The sequence below is a fragment of the Homo sapiens genome, chromosome 7 (assembly GCF_000001405.40).
Source record: "Homo sapiens chromosome 7, GRCh38.p14 Primary Assembly".
NCBI classification, from domain to species: Eukaryota; Metazoa; Chordata; class Mammalia; order Primates; family Hominidae; genus Homo; species Homo sapiens.
Window position 1 is genome coordinate 55429103 of NC_000007.14, and position 19820 is coordinate 55448922.

Sequence of the window (19820 nt, forward strand, 5' to 3'; positions counted from 1 at the left end):
AAGGATATTGGCCTACAGTTTTCCTGTCTTGTGCTGTCTTTCTCTGGTTTTGGTATCAGGGTCATACTGACCTAATAAACCATGTTGAGAAGTATCTTCTTCTCTTCTGTTTTCTGGGACAGACTGTGTTAATTGGTGGAAGAATTGGTATTAGTGTAACTTAAATGTTTGGTAGAATTCTCCAGTACAAACTTCTAGGTCTGGAGATTTATTTTTCTAGACTTTTAAAATAAATTCCGTTTTTAAAATAGTTATAGGGCTGTTCAAGTTATCTATTTCATATTGGGTGAGCTGTCATAGTTTGTAATTTTTGGGAAATTGGTTAATTACGTACATGTGGTGAAATGCAAATATGTAAGCTATTGGTATTCCTTATCATCCTCTGTCTGCATCGTCTGTAGTGGTATGTCCTGTTTTAGTTTTCATACTGGTAATATTTTTAAATCATATTTTAGAAATACGAGCAGAAAACAGAGCATGTGTCACATGTTTTGCAGAAGATGATCTTTTTTAATATTCAGAGAACTCATAAGGAAAAAGTACTTACTAGAATAAAAGTTGTAGTCCTCTATGTCATAAAAATGCAATGCATTTGCATCAGATATAACAGAGTTAATGCCTGAACTCTAAATGGAGTTTATCAACTTGATAATAGCACCTTCAGAGCCCCAGTGGGTCAAAAGCTTTGGATGTACAGCTCCCTAAAGGCGGGAAGTTAATAGGTCACCTCCTTCCCCTGTGCCTCGCCAGTGCCTGGCAGACAGAACTGTGGGGGACTCTCACCAAATTCCCGTCAGGGGACGGAGGGATTATTAAGCCGTGTGCCTAGCAATGCAGGCCATTGTGGCAAACTGGCCGGCTGGAGGAGCCACTGGGAGGGCTCACTGGCACCTGGCACCCCTTCTGGAGGAGCTCACTCCTGCTGGAGTGCACCGCCCAGTGGATCCGCTGCCCACACACCTGAGCAGGAAAGCCAGGCTCATCCCCGCAGGGCCTGCTGTAGGGCCTCCTAGGCTTGTTATGGGTCCCTGTTTACTTCTCATGGGCACTCCTAGGTCAGTGGTTTTCTAATTTTTTAAACAAGTTTCTGGAACCTTTCTTTAAACAAAAACTTACAGAGAAGGCTGGGAACACCCCAGATGACCGTCAGTAGGAAAAATGGGTAAACAATCTGCAGTGTACTGTTCAGCAGTAAGAAGGGGCCAACTATGAACAGGCACAGAACGTGAATGAATTGCAGGAACCCTGACGAAGGAGCCAGATACAAGGGCTGTACACTGTGGCCATGCTCATAAGAGTGCCAGAGCAGGCAGAACTAATCCATGGTGGACCAAGACCAGGCTGCTGGTTACCTCTGGGGGGACCACAGGGATGGGAGGGACTGGAGAGGGGCACTTGGAACTTCCTGGGGTGATGGAAATATTCCAGGTCTTAATCGGGTTTTGTTTGCACATGTATATGCATTTTACAAACCTCAGAGAAGTACATTTTGGATTTATGTGTTTTATTGTACGTGAATTTTACATCAAAAGAAAAACTGTAAACAAAAACCCTGTAAGGGAGGATTGTTCTGATTTGAGTGGGGACAGGAGACCTGGAGGCCTTGGTGGGCTACTAGCACCTTCTCCACCCCACACCCTTCCTAAGCTGCTGTGAGTCTAGTTGAAAACCCACTGCTCAATTACTGCAATGATTTGGGGTGGGGATTTTGACCAAATTGAGGTTTGTTAAAAATAACATTCTTCAAATATCAAGAAGATATAAAATGCAACTTTGAGCATATACAGGCTCTGAGGGGAAGCTCCGTGTATAGGAATATCGTAATTAGCAGCATCCATAACTTCCATAGCGATTCTGTGATGCCACCTTAAAGTTTCAAGATATAAGATTAAAGCCCAGTAACCAGTTTTTTAAATATAAGATAGTGAGGAAAACTGGTGTTATTATATTACCTGCCAGGTGCTAAATATAAGGATATCTTTGGTTTTTAATGAAGTCATCTTTAGAGTCCTCAGCACCTTTCCCACATGCTTGCAGCCCCTGGTAAGGGAAATGATTAAAAGTCACTGTTATAGACACTACCCTTATGCCATTCCTAAGAGGCTCCTCATTTTACATTGCAGGCATGGCTGGCGCTATTCACTTTCTCTCTGATGTCCTGGGACCAGAGACATCACGGTTTCCAGCATTTGAACTTGACTCTTCGAAGAGGGATTAAAAGGTGCAAAAAGACAACTAAAATACCCATTTGGACCAAAAGCCACCAGATTGCTTAGTGCCTGACACAGAAACAACTGGGAATCCTGAAAGAGAAGCAGACACCGTCACAGGCCCCTCTGGTTAGACTAGCATGAGTGACCGAAGCCATCCATCAACATTTTCTAACAGCACCCTCATCAATATAAAATATGACTTCTTCACATACAGATTCTCTGTAGTGTTTGCATGTTTCTTGGTGTTTGTTGTCTCCAGGTGTAAGCTGTTTTAAATGGAAGGCCCTTCTATTCCTGAGGGCTCAGAGCTGACCATGCATGAATGTATGGCAGTGTCCACTTTTCTGTATAAAATGTATAAAGTGGGGTTTCTTCCATATTGACAAATGAGGGAACAGGTGGTGTCTATCTTGTATATCAGAAAGATTATCTAGGGTCTATCCTAGTGATAATACATTGTCAGCCTTTTCTGTGGCACCTTCCAGATGAGAATGAGGGAGCGACCACTCCAAGGACGGACAGGACCAGCAGTTCTGCAGGGGCGTGCTGGGGTGGTTTGGGAGTGCACAGCTGAACGCTTCCCGTTTGGATTTTACACTCACCTTCGTGTTTTAAAGAAGCCTCAGAGTGCATTGCAGCTCTGTCAGGGCCCCATTCCCAGCAGAGGCTTCAGGTGCTTTGTGTAGAGTCCAGGGCAGCTGGAGCTTTGTTGGGGAGACTTCTGGACCCAAAGGGAGCTTTCCCAAGAAGCCTTTGATGGCCACACTGTAGGCAGCAGTGACTAAGCACTGGCAGTTCCAGAACATTTACCCAGGTATATGTTACTAAAACAGGCTCCACCTCAGTTTATCAACATTATAAGTTACTGTTCTAAGAAAAGTAAATACAGTTCCAGATGGGTTATTGCAGATTAACAGAAAGACACTCAACTGGACTCATGTCCCTGCAATTAAACTTACTTCAACCTTTTGGAAAGTTATCAAAATCTAAATTTGGAATGAATGCATTTCCTATTTTTTGTCTACTTTTGGGTGATAAAAAGTACTAGCCCTTATTTATAGATATGAGAAACATAATGTTCTAACCAACAACATTATGGTATTTGTGTGACTTTTATTTGAAAAAATGTGAGCAGTAATTTGGGTTAGCCTACCTTCATTAATTCTATCACATAGATTTCAGTTTTTAGAAGGGTTTCTGTCATCATGGAAGAGGTGGTCTGGGACTAGGTACTTCTCGTCTTGTGAGCTAAGGCTTGTGTCATGAAAGACAAGAGGCCTCTCTTAACAGCCCAGTCCTTGTCTGCAGGGGGAGGCCTGAGCATTTCCCAGCCCCAGTGTCCACACCTCTCAGAAAAGAGAAAAAAGAATGTCAGTTTAGGAGAAAAGCTTCCTTTTTACTTGTGTGGTTATGTGTGGGGCTGGCACCCGAAATGTGTGACATTCAGCTTCTAAACGATGCCTGGAGAGTCTGTTTGCTGCAGACACCCTTGCTCCTGAGTCATTATTTTCTTTCATGTTAGATTGATGACTTCTGTGAATAGAAATCATCCTGATCCTATTTTACCTGGCCTCCAGGGCCTGTTGATGGGCTTTGCAGGCAGTCCAGCAGCCCACACCTGCAGGCAGGATGCTGTCGTCAATGAGCTGAGGGTAGCTGCTTTGCTGAAGACCTCACACGATGTCCAATCTCATCCAAATAACATTGTTCCCATCCTCCCCACCCACCACATCAAAACATAACACATCACAGCACTCAGTAGAGGTCCTGCCTCCCCATTTCTCAAGGGAAGCCAGTAGGCAACACAGCCAGCACGGTGCTCTCCAGGGCAGCCCCTCTCAGACGAGGAGGCAGCGGGTGCAGCCAGGTGTCTGCAGAGCAGCCACAAAGGTGGCCTAGGATGCGGGTGTCTCCCCAGGTGAGTCCATCCACACACGTTTGAAAAACACTATTAGTCTTTCTAACACACTGAGGGAAAGATTAAAATCTGTGGAATAAAGGAGGAGATTTTATTTACAGATTTTTTTAAAAGCCACCTGGGTTGACACCTTCCTACTTATCCACTAGATGTCATCAGAGGTGCTGTTCCGTGGTTCTGCATTAACCCCTGCCTCATGTCTGTAACATGTGACAGTAATTCCAGCTCGGTCCCTCCAGGCAAAGGAGAAACGGGACTTACTTCACAGGACAGAGGATTGACAGAAGTCAGTTTAAGATAAGTGTTTGAATCAGATTTCAGTACATCTCATTCATTTCTTAGATTTGTATTCACAATTGTGTTCTCTAAAATGTGTCTAAATTTTAAAAATATGTACATGCATAATGTCATTTTAAAATCTGAAGGAAAGAATTTGAAGTCCACAAAAAGTGTTTGAGGTTCTTTGGTTTTGTTAGTAAAAGCCAGTTCTGTGGTGATGACCTATGGAATCGTCATTCGTTTTCATTTCTCCGTGTTTGAGAGTGACATTGGTTAGGAGCAATGGCGACTGTTCCGAAGGTTGGATTCTTCACTTAAAAATGCGGCAGTTGCGGCTGGGCATGGTGGTTCATGCCTGTAATCCCAGCACTTTGGGAGGCCGAGTTGGGCGGATGATGAGACCATACTGGCCAACATGGTGCAACCCCATCTCTACTAAAAATATAAAAATTAGCTGGGCGTGGTGGCGGACACTGTAGTCCCAGCTACTCGGGAGGCTGAGGCAGGAGAATCGCGTGAACTGGGGAGGTGGAGGTTGGAGGTTGCACTGAGCTGAGATCACAACACTGCACTCCAGCCTGGTGACAGAAGGAGACTCCATCTCAAAAAAAAAAAAGTGGCAGTTGCTCGCCTTATGATGTTCTAGTTGCAGGTTTCTTTTTCTTTCTTTTTTTTTTTTTTTTTTGAGACTGAGTTTCACTCTTGTTTCCCAGGCTGGAGTGCAATGGCGCAATCTTGGCTCACTGCAACCTCCACCTCCCAGGTTCAAGCGATTCTCCTGCCTCAGCCTCCCGAGTACCTGGGATTATAGGCGCGAGCCACCATGCTTGGCTAATTTTGTATTTTTAGTAGAGATGGGGTTTCACCGTATCAGCCAGGTTGGCCTCGAACTCCTGACCTCAGGAGATCCACCCGCCTCAGCCTCCCAAAGTGCTGGTATTACAGGCGTGAGCCACTGCGCTCAGCCCTAGTTGCAGGTTTCTATCTATAAGTACATTCTTTTTGATTCCAACAACAAGACCTTTGGAACCCTGGGTCAGAAGAGCCACATCTATCAAGCTCCCTCCTTGTGATGGGCCCTTTGTTTTCACAGCAGCACTGGGAAGGGGGACTGTTGTAATTAACACTTTCTCACAGACGAGACAGTGCCAGACTTGCCCAGCATCTCACAGCCCGCGTGTGGGACAGTCGGGTCAGACTCAGGTGCTGCTCATGGTGCTAAGTTGCACCCACTCCCTCTTCCCCTGGGTGCTCGATGCAGAAGGAAAGCCACGGAAACCCAGGAAGGCCCTGCGACATGACCATGAGCACATGGCTAGTGAACAGAAAAGCAGGACGGACCATATAGGGCTGCTTCCTCTGGCCCTGTCATATCTGCTCCCCCACAGCCTTCTAGGTGGGGAGGGACCCTACAGCCATTTGTCGGAATTGAAACTGCTTTTTAGCTTAGGCAGTTTTCACATCTGTTGCTTCATTTGCTAAATTTACAAATACAATGGTCCAAGTTTAAAGTCCAGGTTCCCTAAGACGTCTTTACAAACCATCTCCACTCCCGCCCAGGCTCTGCGCCGCGACTTCTATGGCTCTACCTTTCATGAGCCTCATAGTCTGGTGAGAGACTGGATGTGTAATGTGGATGGGACCATTGGTGGTCCTCAGGAGGCATTGAGCCCACTACGTTGCATGCAGAATTCTGTGTGCATATGATTACTGACATGGAGAGAGGGTTCCCAGTTTTCATTACCGCTTCAAAGCGGTGTGTGACCCGAAAAAGGTGAAGTTTCAGGCTGGGGGGTAAAGAAGTGTGTGTGGGCCAGCCGGGCTTCAAAGCATGGAGCCGGGGGTGCTGTGGGAGGCGGACATGGCAGCAGGATTGGATCAGGAGGTGCCGTCGCATTTAGGAAGACCCCTCCTGTGGTAGAAGATGCTGCCAGCAGGTCCTGACTTTTCCACATCAGTGTCAAAGTCCAGCGTGACCAAGTCCCTGGTGCCTGTCAGCCTCTTCTCTGCTTCCTGGTACACAGCTGTGGGCATAGGAAGTGGTGGTCCAGGCAGCACAGTACGCAGCCCCGAGTGAGCCGGCCAGTGCGCTTCTGGAAGGCTATTCCATCCATTGTCTCCTGTCAGAGGCAGGGCTCCTTTATGATCCTGTTTTACCCAGGCTGCAGCTCCCCAGAGGCTGAGGCGCAGGGGCTCTCAGATGCCTGGGGCTATCCTGAGATCAGTCGGCTTCACAAATCTGACTGTTCCCAGCTCCCTCTCCCGTTTGGAGGTGGGAAGCTCGGTTCTTCTGCTCAGCAAATGCTTACGGAGCATCCACACTGTGCCAGGCATTGTGCTGAGTGCTGTGAGTGGAATGATGAAAAACCACCCTGGCTCCTGTCCTCAGTCAGCATCGCATCAGGCCTGAGGAACCTCTGCAGCACGGCAGAAGCCTTGAGCTGAGCTCAGACTCAGAGGGCCTCCCTCAGAAGGACCCCGGAGTGTTCCTCTGCAGTGAGGTGAGGACAGCTAGCTTCTGGGTGAAGGATGTTGTACGCCTCTTCCAGATAACAGCAGGAGGCGGACCAAAGGAAAGTGGGGGTCAGCTCAGCCTTGCAGTGTGACACCTTGTGGGCATGAAGGTGAAGGTGGTAGTCCCTGTCGTCAAGGAGTATATGGTCTACAAAGAAAGTAATAAATACATGTTTACATTTTACAGCCAACCCAGGGTGGTGTGTGTTAAGAGCAGAGACTCTGGAGCCTGGGAGCTTGTGTTCACCTCTGAGCTCACCTGTTCCCTGTGGGAACTTGGTCAAGTTATTTCTTGAGCCTCCATTTCTTCTCTATAAAATCAGGACAATGGTAATATCTACCTTATTTGGTAGGTGGGAGGATTTAAATGACAAATGGGAAAAGCCTCTAGTCCGTGTAAGTGCTCTGATGGGGCAGGTGAAGGTGCCGGTGATTGGCTTTCATGTGAGGAAGCACTCACCTGCCTGCATCGTGGAGGGAAATGCAGATCTGTCCTACTTCAAAGTCTCATGCCTCATCACAACCCCGTGTCAGTCCTCTGCTTGGCAGCCCTGGGCTTTCAGACAATTGTGCATGAGTGTGTGTGCATGAGTGTGTGTGTGTGCGTGTGTGTGCGTGCGTGGGTGTGTGTGCGTGTGTGCGTGCGTGTGCGTGTGTGCATGTGCATGCGTGTGTGTGCATGCATATGTGAATTGGTAACTGCCCCAGGATCCTTCAAGAGGAAAAGATGCTGCAGGAGCAAAGATGTCCTAAACCACAGTTTCAGGCTTATTCAAAATCCAGGAATTCAGAGAGACCAGGGTGTCAGCTGCTTTGGTGTTTTCTTGGGCATCCCAGGGAGCTTTCCCTGGTTCTGTGGCCCCCTCCACCCTCCTCCTTACTGTACAAGAGAAACTTGTGGCTTTCATAGGATCATCCAGCAGATACGCTGCTGCTCACATGTTGATAAAGATATTACCCCACTCTTAAAGTATTGCCCTAGGAGAATAAAACGTGTCCCGAGCAGCATAATCACACATTCATCTGTAAGTGTATAAGTATTCCTAAAGTTCCAAGAACTGACAAGGCCAGCCTTTCAGACCATTCCTAATGGAGGTGGCAGGGAAGTTACCAAACACTGTGCTCAGTTGCTGGAAACTAGGTGTGATCCCCAGGATAAGAGAGGGTGACCTACACACATCCTCTTGGCAAGCCAGAGGTGGCCTGGCTCCCGAGGAGTCCCCACGGAGGCCGCCTCGTAGCTGTAAGGAGGGCTGGGAGCATCTGCAGTACCTGCTCCCTCACAGCAGCTGAGGAACTTATTTTGAGTCCTTGTGTGCCAGAAAGATGTCTTTCATCTGCTCTGACACTGAAATCATAGTTTGACTGCTTAAAGGATTCTCGACTGGTTATCCTACTGATATCTCAAGGCATTGCTCTGCTGTCCTAAACCTTCCATTGCTGCCTGTGGGGATTTCATAGCCATTGGGATTCTTGTTTCTTTGTATTTGATCTTGCTTTGTATGATTGTTTTGCAAGTTGTAGGATTTTCATCTGATAATAGGCCTAGTCCTGGTTCTTAATGGGCCCTTCCAATCTGTAAATTCATGTCTTTCAATTCTAGGAAATTTTCTTGAGTTATTTCTTTACTGCCTCCACCCACCCTCTGTCCTTGTCTCTTTTTCTTGAACACCTGTTATTTGGATGTTAAGCCTCTTAATATAATCCCTGATTTTCTTTCTTCTGTTTTACACCCCTTTGTCTTTTTACTTTACTTTCTGAGAGATTTCAACTTTATCTTCCAGTCCTTCTATTGAATGTTTCATTTCGTTTTTCTTTTCTGGAATTTATTTTTTATATCAGTGTATCTTTTATATAGTATCCTGTTTGTATTTTTTTTTTTTTGGAGACGGAGTTTCTATCTTGTCGCCCAGGCTGGAGTACAGTGGCACGATCTCAGCTCACTGTAACCTCTGCCTCCCAGGTTCAAGTGATTCTCATGCCTCAGCCTCCCAAGTAGCTGGGATTACAGATTACAGGCGCCCCCAACCTCACCCGGCTAATTTTTTGTATTTTTAGTAGAGACAGGGTTTCACTATGTTGGCCAGGCTGATCTTGAACTCAGGTGATTCGTCTGCCTCGGCCCCCCAAAGTGCTGGGATTACAGGTGTGAGCCACTGCGCCTGGCCCTTCTTTGTATTTCTTGGTTTTGGTGTCTTATCTCTCCGAGGATGTTAATTTATCCAACTGGTTAATGTATCCAACTGAGTAAGTGCTTACTCAGCACCAGACATTACGGAGGCACTTGGAATCCATCAGTGAAGAAAACAGGCGAAGACACTCACCTGAATGCGTCTGCAGTCTAGCAGTTGGAGACAGTACACATAAGTGTGTACATTTTCTTATATGTTATAAGGTAATAAATGATACAGAAAAAGGATAAAGCAAGCAGGATCAGGGAGACTGATGGTGGGAGGTACACAGGAGGCTCTTTGAAATAGAACGGTAACCATGACACCAAAGTCAACACTCGGAGAAAGTGAAGAGGCTGGCAGGTGAATAAGTGTGGACAGGGCGCCTCACAGAGCAGGACAGGCAAAGGCCCCGGGGAAGCACTTCTCACTCGCTGCAGAATCGCAGGCCTTGGAGAAGGCACAGAGGCTTTGAAGGCCATTCTTAGGAGTCTGGCTCTGACCATGGGTGAAACAGAATGCTCTGGAGGGCTGTGAGTGAAGGAAGGCATTATCTGGCCCACATTGTAAAGGGATCACTGTAGGAGCACAGGCAGGAGCAGAGACCCAGGCAGCGGGTCTGGGAGGGAAACGGCTGTGGCTACGCAGGTGCAGGTGGTGAGCGCAGTCAGAATCTAGACAGATCTTGAGCTGGAGCCAGCAGGACTTCCTGGCAGTCAGGGGCAGAGTAAGACAGTTGTCAGCTATGGCTCAGGCACAGTGGCTGGACATCTGGCAGGGCGCCACAGGCTGAGGCATGCAGGTTGGGCTGGGAGGGCCGGGCTGAGATGGAACCCGGTTGTACGCACATTGAGTTCAAGGTGGTTTATTAGAGGCGGGCGAGTCTGGAGTTTGGAGGGAAGTCTGTGATGGAGGCGTCACTTTGGAGTTGTTTGCTTATCGATGTTATTTAAAGGCAGGAGACCTATAAGGTTACCAGGGAAGTGAGGGAGATGAGAGAGGGAAGGGAGCCAGGACACAGCCCTGGGCCACAGCAGCAGAGAAGAGGAGAAGGCGCAGTCACTGAGGTAGGGAGACAAGAGTCTGTTTCCCTGGAAGCCGTGTGTGGAGAAGGGAGGGGTCGCCTGTGTCAGAGGCTTCTGACGCATGAGACAAAAGCCAAGCACTGGTCATTGGAGTCAGTGTGGAGGTCTGCGGTGAACTCCTCGGCAGCACAGGCAGCACTTGACAGGAGTTTCATTGAAAAGGTAGGACAAAGAGAGTCACAGCTGGTGAGCGAAATAGGGTCAAGAAAAACTTTTTCAGAAAAATAACAGGATGTTTGTAATTTGATGGGAATGATAAAATGGGCAGTTGGAAAGAAGGGGTGATATAACACAGGACGCAGTGGAAGTGCTGGAGTGACGTCTCCAAGGAGGCAAGGGCCTGGGGGCTGGTGTCCCGGGACTAGGGATCCGACAGGAGCGCCAACACCGCTGTGGGTGAACAGACACCGGTTGGCACAGGAGCAGTGGGCGCTGCCTCTGAGTGCTTCAGTTCTCAGTGAAGTAGGCGCCAGCTCAGCAGCATCTGCTGCCTGAGGATGGAGGAGGCGGAGGTGCTGGGATTGAAGGCAGAAGAGAAAGTGTGAAAGCACCCAGGAGGAGAATGAATGAGCTGATCTCCAGCTGCATCCTGCCAGAGAGCACCAAGTGGATCTGCCAAACACAGACTGCTGGGCAGGCATCTGATTCAGTAGGTCTGGGTGGGGCTCGAGAATGTGTATTTCTAACAAGTTCCAGGATGACACTAATGCCGCTGGCTGGGGATCCCACACTTCCAGATGACACTGGTCTGGAGGCAGGTTGCGTGGTAGCCTCAGGGGCTCCCGTGGTCACCGCTGGTGAGAGCGGGTGGCAGGTTTGTGCGTTCCTTGCCAGGCATTCAGCTTGCCATTTAGTTTATCTGACCTGCTTTTTCCTGCATGTGGGCTCATCAGCCACCCTCGAGGGTACACATAGTGACAAGCTGCAGAACATTCGTGAGTGGGGACAAAAGCTGAGTGGAAATGCTGGCCGGGGTGGCTCATGTCTGTGAAGCATGATCTGGCTGGACCTTTTAGAGGGGCCCTGGCATCAGTTTCTGGGGTTGGCAGCTCCTGCTGAGCAGGCTCCCAGCCACCTGTCCTACACAGTGGCACTCTGACCTTCACTCTGGGCAAGAGACCATCCGTTTTACTTTTTCTAGCAAAGGGCATCTGGGGGCTGACTGATATCTGGCCTGCCTTTGAGTCAGCCTCCTCACTGCCAGCCAGAGGCATGGGATCTGGGGCCACGCTTCCAGTGACTGACAGCGGCTGGGCTCAGGGCTCACCTATTCCTCCGTCCTCCCACCACCTCACTGTTCAGCTGTTGGTCAACACTTGCTTCCTCTGCTTTTCAGCTTCCCCATTTGAGCGGCTGTCTCCTGCCCTCTTGCCCCAGGTCTGCCTGGTCTCATGGACCCTGGGAGGGAGCACAAGCGTGTGCCTGGCACAGGCTGTCCCTGGGCCTGCACACAGACCTGCTGCCCCCATAGCCTGCTGGGTTCGAGGACCAGAGACAGGCCGGATGTATTTAAGCCCATGAGGGTTTGCATCTCAGTACTTTTCCTGGGACTCTTCCTGAGCCGTACTGAGTATACGCCGCTGGCACAGTCGTCACACATGGAGCAGAACATCCACGCCCCTCACTCCTCCTTGTCCTGTGCCAAAACCATGTTCAGGGATCAAAGAGGGGCACGGAACACACCCGGATGACTCTGCTTTTCTGAAATTTTCTCGCATGGAATTATTTTGCTGATATCTTCATTTTGTGATTCTATCCTATATGGAAAGCCTATATTCCATCTTGTCAAATGGAAAAGTTCACAAATTGGGACCATTTTCTGTTTCTAAGACCCCATAGCCTCTAGGTTGCTTGCCGGCACAGAGCCGCCCGCTCTGCAGATGGCTGTGTCTCCACAGCCTTCCTGGAAGAACAGCCTCAAGGGCTGCCAGCATCAGAAGGACATGGCTGGGGAGGAGGGAAGGGGGAGGAAGTGGGAACTGCCATGGCCTATGGTACAACTACAAAACCAAAAAGCCTTGCCCCTCTCTCCGATTTACCTCCCCCAACTTGAAAAGCATGAGGGCGTCACAGACATCATCTGCTGATGCCTGAAACTCCTGTATTCCACACCCAGAGACAAGCGCACAGTTAAAAGTGCCTGGGCAGGTGAGGGTGTGATTCACTCACCATGGCAAGAGTGGTCTCTGGCATTAGACCCTCTGGGTTCCAATCTGGGCTTTGCCACCTTCAATACTGCCTTATGGGGTTATTGGGAGGATTAAATAATTTGAGTAACGCACTTAGCATGGTACAAATGTTCAATACATGCCACTTTTAGATTAAATTAAGGATTAAGTAATGGACATCAGACAGTTTTCTAGGAAAAAAAGTTAATCATGGAACTGCTTGCTTCTGTAGCTGCGCCCCATCAGAGAGCAGTAGCGCACCCCCACCCTCACCCCCCAGGTCATTGGTTCTTTCTGCCAGACCTGCCCCACTTCCTTGGTTCTTCTGGGAATAGCAGTCCCTCCCTTCAGGGAACTGCTCTTCCCATTCAGATGAAGCAGCTTCAGCACACACATGCCTCACACATGGCTGGCTCTTCTGGGGAGATGTGGAATTTAATCTAAAATTAGCACATTTTGAGTCATCAGTAATGTTCCCAGTGGCCTACTCAAGGGATATAGCAACAGGGACTCCTCATTCTCTTTATTGTAAGCTCTGATACATTTAATGCATTTAATTGCTTGAGTGCATTTCATTTCTAATGTATAATAATAATATCGGCCATTATTGAGCTGGGCACTGTGCAAAGCACTTGATAAGCATCATTGCATTCAATTATCCTGTTTGGCCCTATTATAAGCCTGTACATAGGCTTCTCAGACACAGTTTATGACATGTGAGGCGGCTGAGGGTGGGTAGAATTGCCCAGGGTCACACAGCTAGAGAGTTGCGGGGCAGAGGTTCCATCAGACCTTAATTTATGAGAGTGGCATCCAGACATTTCAAAGTCAAGGATAAAAAATGGAACTAATCTACATTCTCCGAAGGGTGGAGGAAGACAGGCTATGAGAGTGGACTGGAGAGTGACATCACAGCATCAAGAGCTCTGTGGACAGAGAGCAAAGCAACGCCAGAAGACGTGCTAAAGTCAAAGCATTAAATTGTGTACACAAGCTATATATTCGTGTCTTATAGCCTGTTCAAACAAGTGGGTTGTCAGTGTCTCAACCTGACAAGGATCTGAAGGAATAATAGAATGCAACTGGTACTGCTTTGTACCCCATCAGTTAATGAGTCTAGGCACTGATCGTTGGTGGCTCTCTGAAGACAAGCAGATGTGCGTACCTTCTAATGGAAATACACACCACTTTTGAAGTAGACCAAAAAAAAAAAAAAACCTAAATCTGATCAAGGTTCTCTATCTACCAATTTATAAGAAATACAGTGGCAGAGGGCAGAGGAACATGCTGGAAAATACCATGAGGATGGATGCAAGAGGCTAGGCCCAGAGAGTGGGTGAAGCTGCAAGAAAAACGACACGGTTTCTTTGGAAAATAAAAAGCAGGCCGGGTGCGGTGGCTCATGCCTGTAATCCCAGCACTTTGGGAGGCTGAGGCAGGTGGATCACGAGGTCAGGAGATCGAGACCATCCTGCCTAACACAGTGAAACCCCGTCTCTACTAAACAAAATACAAAAAATTAGCCAGGCGTGGTGGCAGGCGCCTGTAGTCCCAGCTACTCAGGAGGCTGAGGCAGGAGAATGGCGTGAACTCAGGAGGCAGAGCTTGCAGTGAACCTAGATCGTGCCACTGAACTCCAGCCCGGGTGACAGAGCAAGACTCCGTCTCAAAAAAATAAAAATAAATAAACTAAAAAATAAAAAGCAAATGGAATTAAAAATGGACAAAGACGGAAAATTTAGGTTCAAAAAGATATAGAAATCTCATGCTATGAACCTTATTTGGATCAGATACAAACAATTTTTAAAAAACAGATAAATGTGGCTGGGCGTGGTGGCTCACGCCTGTAATCCCAGCACTTTGGGAGGCTGATGCGGGCGGATCACAAGATCAGAAGATTGAGACCAACCTGGCTAACACGGTGAAACCCCATCTCTACTAAAAATACAAAAAATAAGCCAGGCGTGGTGGCGGGCGCCTGTAGTCCTAGCTACTCGGGAGGCTGAGGCAGGAGAATGGCATGAACGCAGGAGGCAGAGCTTGCAGTGAGCCAAGATCACGCCACTGCGCTCCAGCCTGGGCAACAGAGAGAGACTCTGTCTCAAAAAACAAAACAAAACCAAACAAACAAACAGAAAACAGATAAATGTAAATACTGGTTGGATCTGTAAAGATATGAAGGAATTATTGTCCCTTTTTTTTTTTTTTTTTGAGACGGAGTTTTGCTCTTATCACCCAGGCTGGAGTGCAATGACACAATCTCGGCTCACTGCAACCTCTGCCTCCTGGGTTCAAGCGATTCTCCTCCCTCAGCCTCCTGAGTAGCTGAGATTATAGGCGCACATCACCACGCTCAGCTAATTTTTGTATTTTTCAGAGACTGGGTTTCACCGTGTTGCCCAGGCTGGTCTCAAACTCCTGACCTCAGGTGATCTGCCCGCCTCAGCCTCCCAAAGTGCTGGGATTACATGCATGAGCCACCATGCCTGGCCTATTGTAATTTTTAATTCAGATTGATATGTTGCCTGCTGAAATATTTATAGATGAAATGTTCAGGATTTGCTTCAATATGATGCAGGGAAGGGCCAGAAGGAGTGTAGATCCATAAAACAAGACTGGCCCTTTATCTATTGCTGTGTGATAAATCACCCCAATAAGTGACAGCTGCCGTACCCGGCCGTAACTTCTTTATTTTATAATTTATCTACTGTAGTCTAGAGCTTTGATGATGGTTTGGAGGCTTGTCCCATGTCATCAGCTTAAGTTAGAGATCATCGGACAAGAGTCATGTTGGGTTATAGGCCCACCTTATTCCAGTATGTCCTCACCTTGACTAGTTACATCTGCAATGACCCTATTTCCAAATAAAGTCGCATTCTAAGAGTCCAGGAAGGACATGAATTTTGAGGAGACACTGCCCAACCCAGTACATTCTTCATGTGTGCCTGTTCACATGGCTGCTTGAGTCCCTATGACATGGCAAGGATCCAAGAGAGTCCAAGGCAGAAATTGCAACTCACTTTATCAGAAGTCACACACCATCACCTCTACCGCATTGTATTCAGTGTAGAATTGACTGCACAAGGGCACAAATATCAGGAGGCAGAGAGGATTGAGGGCCACTCTGGAAACTGGATACAGGACTCATATCCCTCCACCTGAAAAATACACTCTGCCCTCCCCAGCTCCCATGTGTTCACCCCATTGTGGCATCAGCCTCTGCTCAGTTGCTGGGGCACAATGCCTGCCAGCTTCGTAGAAACTCTTTTTTTTTTTTTAAATCTAAACAGTTGTCTGAGGCATGACCCCAGAATTTTCTCTTAACAAAACTCTTAACAAGAGATTTTACAAGCTATACCCTTGATTTTCTCTTTATACCATATTTTTCTGACAGTACCTTGGGTTTTATTTTTGCCTGGAAGCCATTTCTTAAATTTGGCATTATTTGCCATCTGGAAGGTCTGAGAATTTTCAAACCAGCCTGACTGCTTTATGTTTAATAGCCCTCTCTTTGGCTTCTTTCTCTGACATTTCTTCTTGCTCTTTATGTAAAAAGAGGAGGAGCCAGACAACATCTTTGACCTTCTGCCTGGAAATTTCCTGATAAGTCACTGGGTTTATTAGGTACATTTTCTATTTTCTCTCTTGGAAGATGTATCTTGCATAACAGAACAGAAGAGGGGGTGAAACCATTTTGTCATATCTGCTTTAGCACGTGTGCTCTTTCTTTTGCTCTCTCTCTCACTTTCTCTACACACACACACAGACACACACACACAGACACACACACACAGACACACACACACACACACAGACATACACACACAGACACACACACACACAGACACACATACCTGCTGCATCATTTGAAAATAAGCTGTAGACATTGGGACCCCTTACTCCTACACACTTCATATGCCTCTTCTAAAAATAATAAACTGCCACATAATCATAATACCAGTATTGCACCTGAGAAAGCTAACAATGATTTTGATAATACTATGTTGCATCCAAGCCATATTCAGTGTTCCCCCAATTGACTTTGAGGTCTGTATTGTTTTTCAATCAGGATCCAGTCTAAGTACATCTTTTATGTTTCTTTCATCTCTGTCAACCTAGGACAATCCCCTCAACCTGGTGTTTTTGTTTTGTTTTTAATGGTGCTGACTTTCTCAGGACTCCAGGACTGTTGTATGGAGCTTCTCCTTTATGGGTTTGTCTGCTTCTTTCCCTCTGGTGTCATTTAACTTGTTCTGCAATCTCCCACTTCCTATAAACAGGAAGTTAGGTCTACCCTTTAGAGCTGTGGTGTCCAATATGGTAGCCACTAGCCACATATGGGTATTTATTAATGAATTTAATTTGATGAGGATTAACTTAAATTTAAGAATTAAGTTCATCGGCCTTACTAGCCTCATTTCAAGTGCCCAGTGTTCACATGTAGCTAGTGGCTATGTATTGGGCAGTGCCTGTGTAGAACATTTCCATCCTCATAGAAAGTTCTATTGGATAACACTGTTGTGGAGGTATCCAGGTGAAACTTTTTTTTTTTTTTTTTTTGAGACGGAGTCTCGCTCTGTCGCCCAGCCTGGAGTGCAGTGGCATGATCTCGGCTCACTGCAAGCTCTGCCTCCTGTGTTCATTCCATTCTCCTGCCTCAGACTCCCAAGTAGCTGGGACTACAGGTGCCCGCCACCACGCCCAGATAATTTTTTTGTATTTTTAGTAGAGACGGGGTTTCACCATGTTAGCCAGGATGGTCTCAATCTCCTGACCTCGTGATCTGCCCACCTCGGCCTCCCAAAGTGCTGGGATTACAGGCGTGAGCCACCGCGCCCGGCCGAGGTGATACATTTTTGATATGAGTACTACTTCAGTGATACTGGCACTTCATATTACATCACATGAGAAGTGCTGGCTGGGAAGTCCTGTGTGCCCTGAGGGACTACTGTAAACTGTGCACATGTAACTTAGAGATACCACACCCTTCCCTGCTGTAGACATTCTTCTCTGGTCCTGTCAGCCTGGATGCTACATCCTGTGATGGAAAAAAATTTCTAGGGAAAACAAAATAATTTTAGAGCTGCAAGGGAACTTTGGTATTATTTTATAAACAGCAGAGGAAACCACACCCATAGAGGTTCAAAACTTGCCCAGGGTCACTGATAGCTAATTGGCAGCCAAGGATGATCTTCAACAAACATCTTCTTATCCCTGGCCAGACTCATATATCAGAGTTGAAGTAACTTGTGGCAACTGACATCAGTTGGTACTACTAACAATCATAAAATTATGTTATGAGTATTTAACAATGCCAGGCACTGTATCTAGCCATTATAACCATTACTTCACAAGATTCTCACAACCATCTCATAAGGAGGTTAGTAACAAAACAACTGAACAGGAATTTATTCTTTCAGATGATAAACCTAGAATTGGCTCACTGCTTCAGAAGTTCAGCAATAAAAGCTGATGTCTCTGTGATTATGTTGGCCTTTCCCTCTTTGTCACAGGATAGTTATTGCAGCTCTAGATATCACATCAGTGATCAAAGCAGGGTGAACGGGCTTGTGGCAATGCCAGCAACCCTTATCCCATTTATGAGAAAAGTGAAATCTTCCCCAGGGGCTCCAGTGTGGAGTTCTATGTGCAATTCATCAACCAAAACTGTGTCATGTGATGCCCCTGCTGCAAGGGAGACTGGACAACTGAAAATGATAGGTGGCTTTTCCAGGTACTATAGAAGAATCAGGCAAGGCGTCAGATTAGGAACAGCAGCAGTTGGGTAAACCAAGCAACAGTGGAATTGTTCTATCCTGATTCGGATTGGGGAACTGATGCTCAGTGTGGCACAATACCTCCCTGCGCTTACCCGGCTAGTGAGGGGCACAGCTGGTTTGACTCCCAAGTTCACGGTGCGTAAGGTTTGCTCACTGAAGAAATGTAAGGAGGACTCTGGTGTTGCTTGGGTTCGGGGCTGGTTCAAACACTTAAACAATAGGTGAGGTCTGTATGTCCTCAAAGGACAGGGGAGAGACTGACCCCAGAGTGATGCCGCCACCTAAATAAGGAACTGAAGGCAATTCAAGAGGAGGGCTGTCTGAATGGTTGTTGGGAAGTGGATACCTAAGAGAACTACTATTTTCTCCATTCAATATATGTTTAATGCCATATTTCATATACATATGCATTTAATGCAGTATGTATGCTATAAATATACGTGTACATATACATATGTATCTCTAGTGCAATATTTCATATAAATTTTGTAAATACAGATTTAATGCTATGTTTCATATTTTCTCCCTAATCCTCTCTTCTCTGTGACAGCTTAATCCTGCCAGCCTTGGTTTTGCCAACCATGGACCCTTTCAAGAAGGTGGTTTGTGTAGGTGGTGAAGAACTCTTGTAATAAAAGAACAGAAAATGGGGCTGATTTTTCTCCCTTCAAATTGGCAATTATATATGAACTAAATCATTATAATTACAACTCATTGTAATTATGGCAAATCACTGTCATTCATTAAAAAACCATTATTCATTATCATTCACTCAAAATCATTATAATCATTATAATGATTTTCCACATATAATTCCCAATAATAAACAGTGTTGGCAAAGGCTGGCAGAATTCATAATAATTCTTCTGAAGGTAATATTTGTCAAAAGCCCTAAAATATGTACATATACTTGGACCCAGCAACTTAAATCCAGTATTTTACTCTGAGGAAATAAATGTGGATGTACGTAAAACATAGTGACAAGCATGCTCAGCAAAGCATTATTTATAATAGAGAAAAATTAGCAAGAATGCAAGCAAGAAAACAGATTGGAGAAATGTATCAATATCATAAAGTTCAAAATGAAACAAAACACATGGTAAAATTATAAAAGCAAAGAAATTATAAACACAAAATATGGGATAATAATGGGAGTGCAATGAGAAAGATTCATAGGGACCTCATTTCTATTTCTGAAGTGGGATGGGCGTACAGTGTGTTCATGTTATTGTATTTGGTCTGCATCATCCACAATTATGCCAAGAAACTGTGGGGCACCACAATAAAGGTTGATTTTTCGCTCGAGCCCCGGTCCTGGCAGTTGGCAGGAGATCTCAGCTCCACGCAGTCAGCCAGGGACTCAGGCTCCGTCATCTTGCATAGCCTGGAATCCTCCGCGGGATCCTCCACACCCAGGCTCCAGAAAGGGAAGGGAGAGACCTTGGGGCCTGGCAGCGCTGCAGGACCAGGTCTGGGGGACTCAGGTCTCCCGCATCCTATTCCAGTGCCCAGCGCGGCCCCAGCTCGCTGCCAGGGCGCTGGCAACGGTGGGCCCGGACGAGGGGGAGGCGGCGCCCCTGGCGAGGAGCAGCATTGCCACCGCAGCCACGCGCAGGACATGCCCACCCTCTTCAATGACATATTTTATTTAAAAGTGAAAAACAAAATGGGAAGAGGGGGTTAAATAAACTG

General features: G+C 46.6%; 2 protein-coding genes across 6 annotated transcripts in view, besides 3 other annotated features; one reads left to right on the forward strand and one right to left on the reverse strand.

The window, feature by feature from the left end:
• Nucleotides 1–4635, forward strand: part of LANCL2 (LanC like glutathione S-transferase 2) — a 68401-nt gene extending 63766 nt beyond the window's left edge. For both annotated transcript variants that reach the window (NM_018697.4, XM_047420614.1), the window contains one exon: nucleotides 2124–4635. In NM_018697.4, coding sequence (NP_061167.1) covers nucleotides 2124–2218 — 95 coding nt within the window. In that variant the 3' untranslated portion in view covers nucleotides 2219–4635. The remainder of the gene's footprint in view (nucleotides 1–2123) is intronic.
• Nucleotides 4202–4251: an enhancer, noted in NCBI's record as "active region_26015". NCBI's record gives its function as "activates an Ori minimal core promoter by ATAC-STARR-seq in GM12878 lymphoblastoid cells {active_cell/tissue: GM12878}" and the evidence as "EXISTENCE:reporter gene assay evidence [ECO:0000049][PMID:35858748]".
• Nucleotides 4282–4361: an enhancer, noted in NCBI's record as "active region_26016". NCBI's record gives its function as "activates an Ori minimal core promoter by ATAC-STARR-seq in GM12878 lymphoblastoid cells {active_cell/tissue: GM12878}" and the evidence as "EXISTENCE:reporter gene assay evidence [ECO:0000049][PMID:35858748]".
• Nucleotides 4636–5861: 1226 nt separating the features above from the next.
• VOPP1 (VOPP1 WW domain binding protein) overlaps nucleotides 5862–19820 on the reverse strand; it is a 137539-nt gene continuing 123580 nt past the window's right edge. For all 4 annotated transcript variants that reach the window (XM_011515539.2, XM_011515546.3, XM_011515540.3 and 1 more), the window contains exon 5: nucleotides 5862–7072. In XM_011515539.2, the coding sequence (XP_011513841.1) occupies nucleotides 6864–7072 (209 nt within the window). In that variant the 3' untranslated portion in view covers nucleotides 5862–6863. The remainder of the gene's footprint in view (nucleotides 7073–19820) is intronic.
• Nucleotides 11204–12030: an enhancer, noted in NCBI's record as "H3K4me1 hESC enhancer chr7:55507999-55508825 (GRCh37/hg19 assembly coordinates)". NCBI's record gives its function as "activates a minimal SCP1, AML or CMV promoter by ChIP-STARR-seq in primed H9 embryonic stem cells {active_cell/tissue: H9 hESC(primed)}" and the evidence as "EXISTENCE:reporter gene assay evidence [ECO:0000049][PMID:30033119]".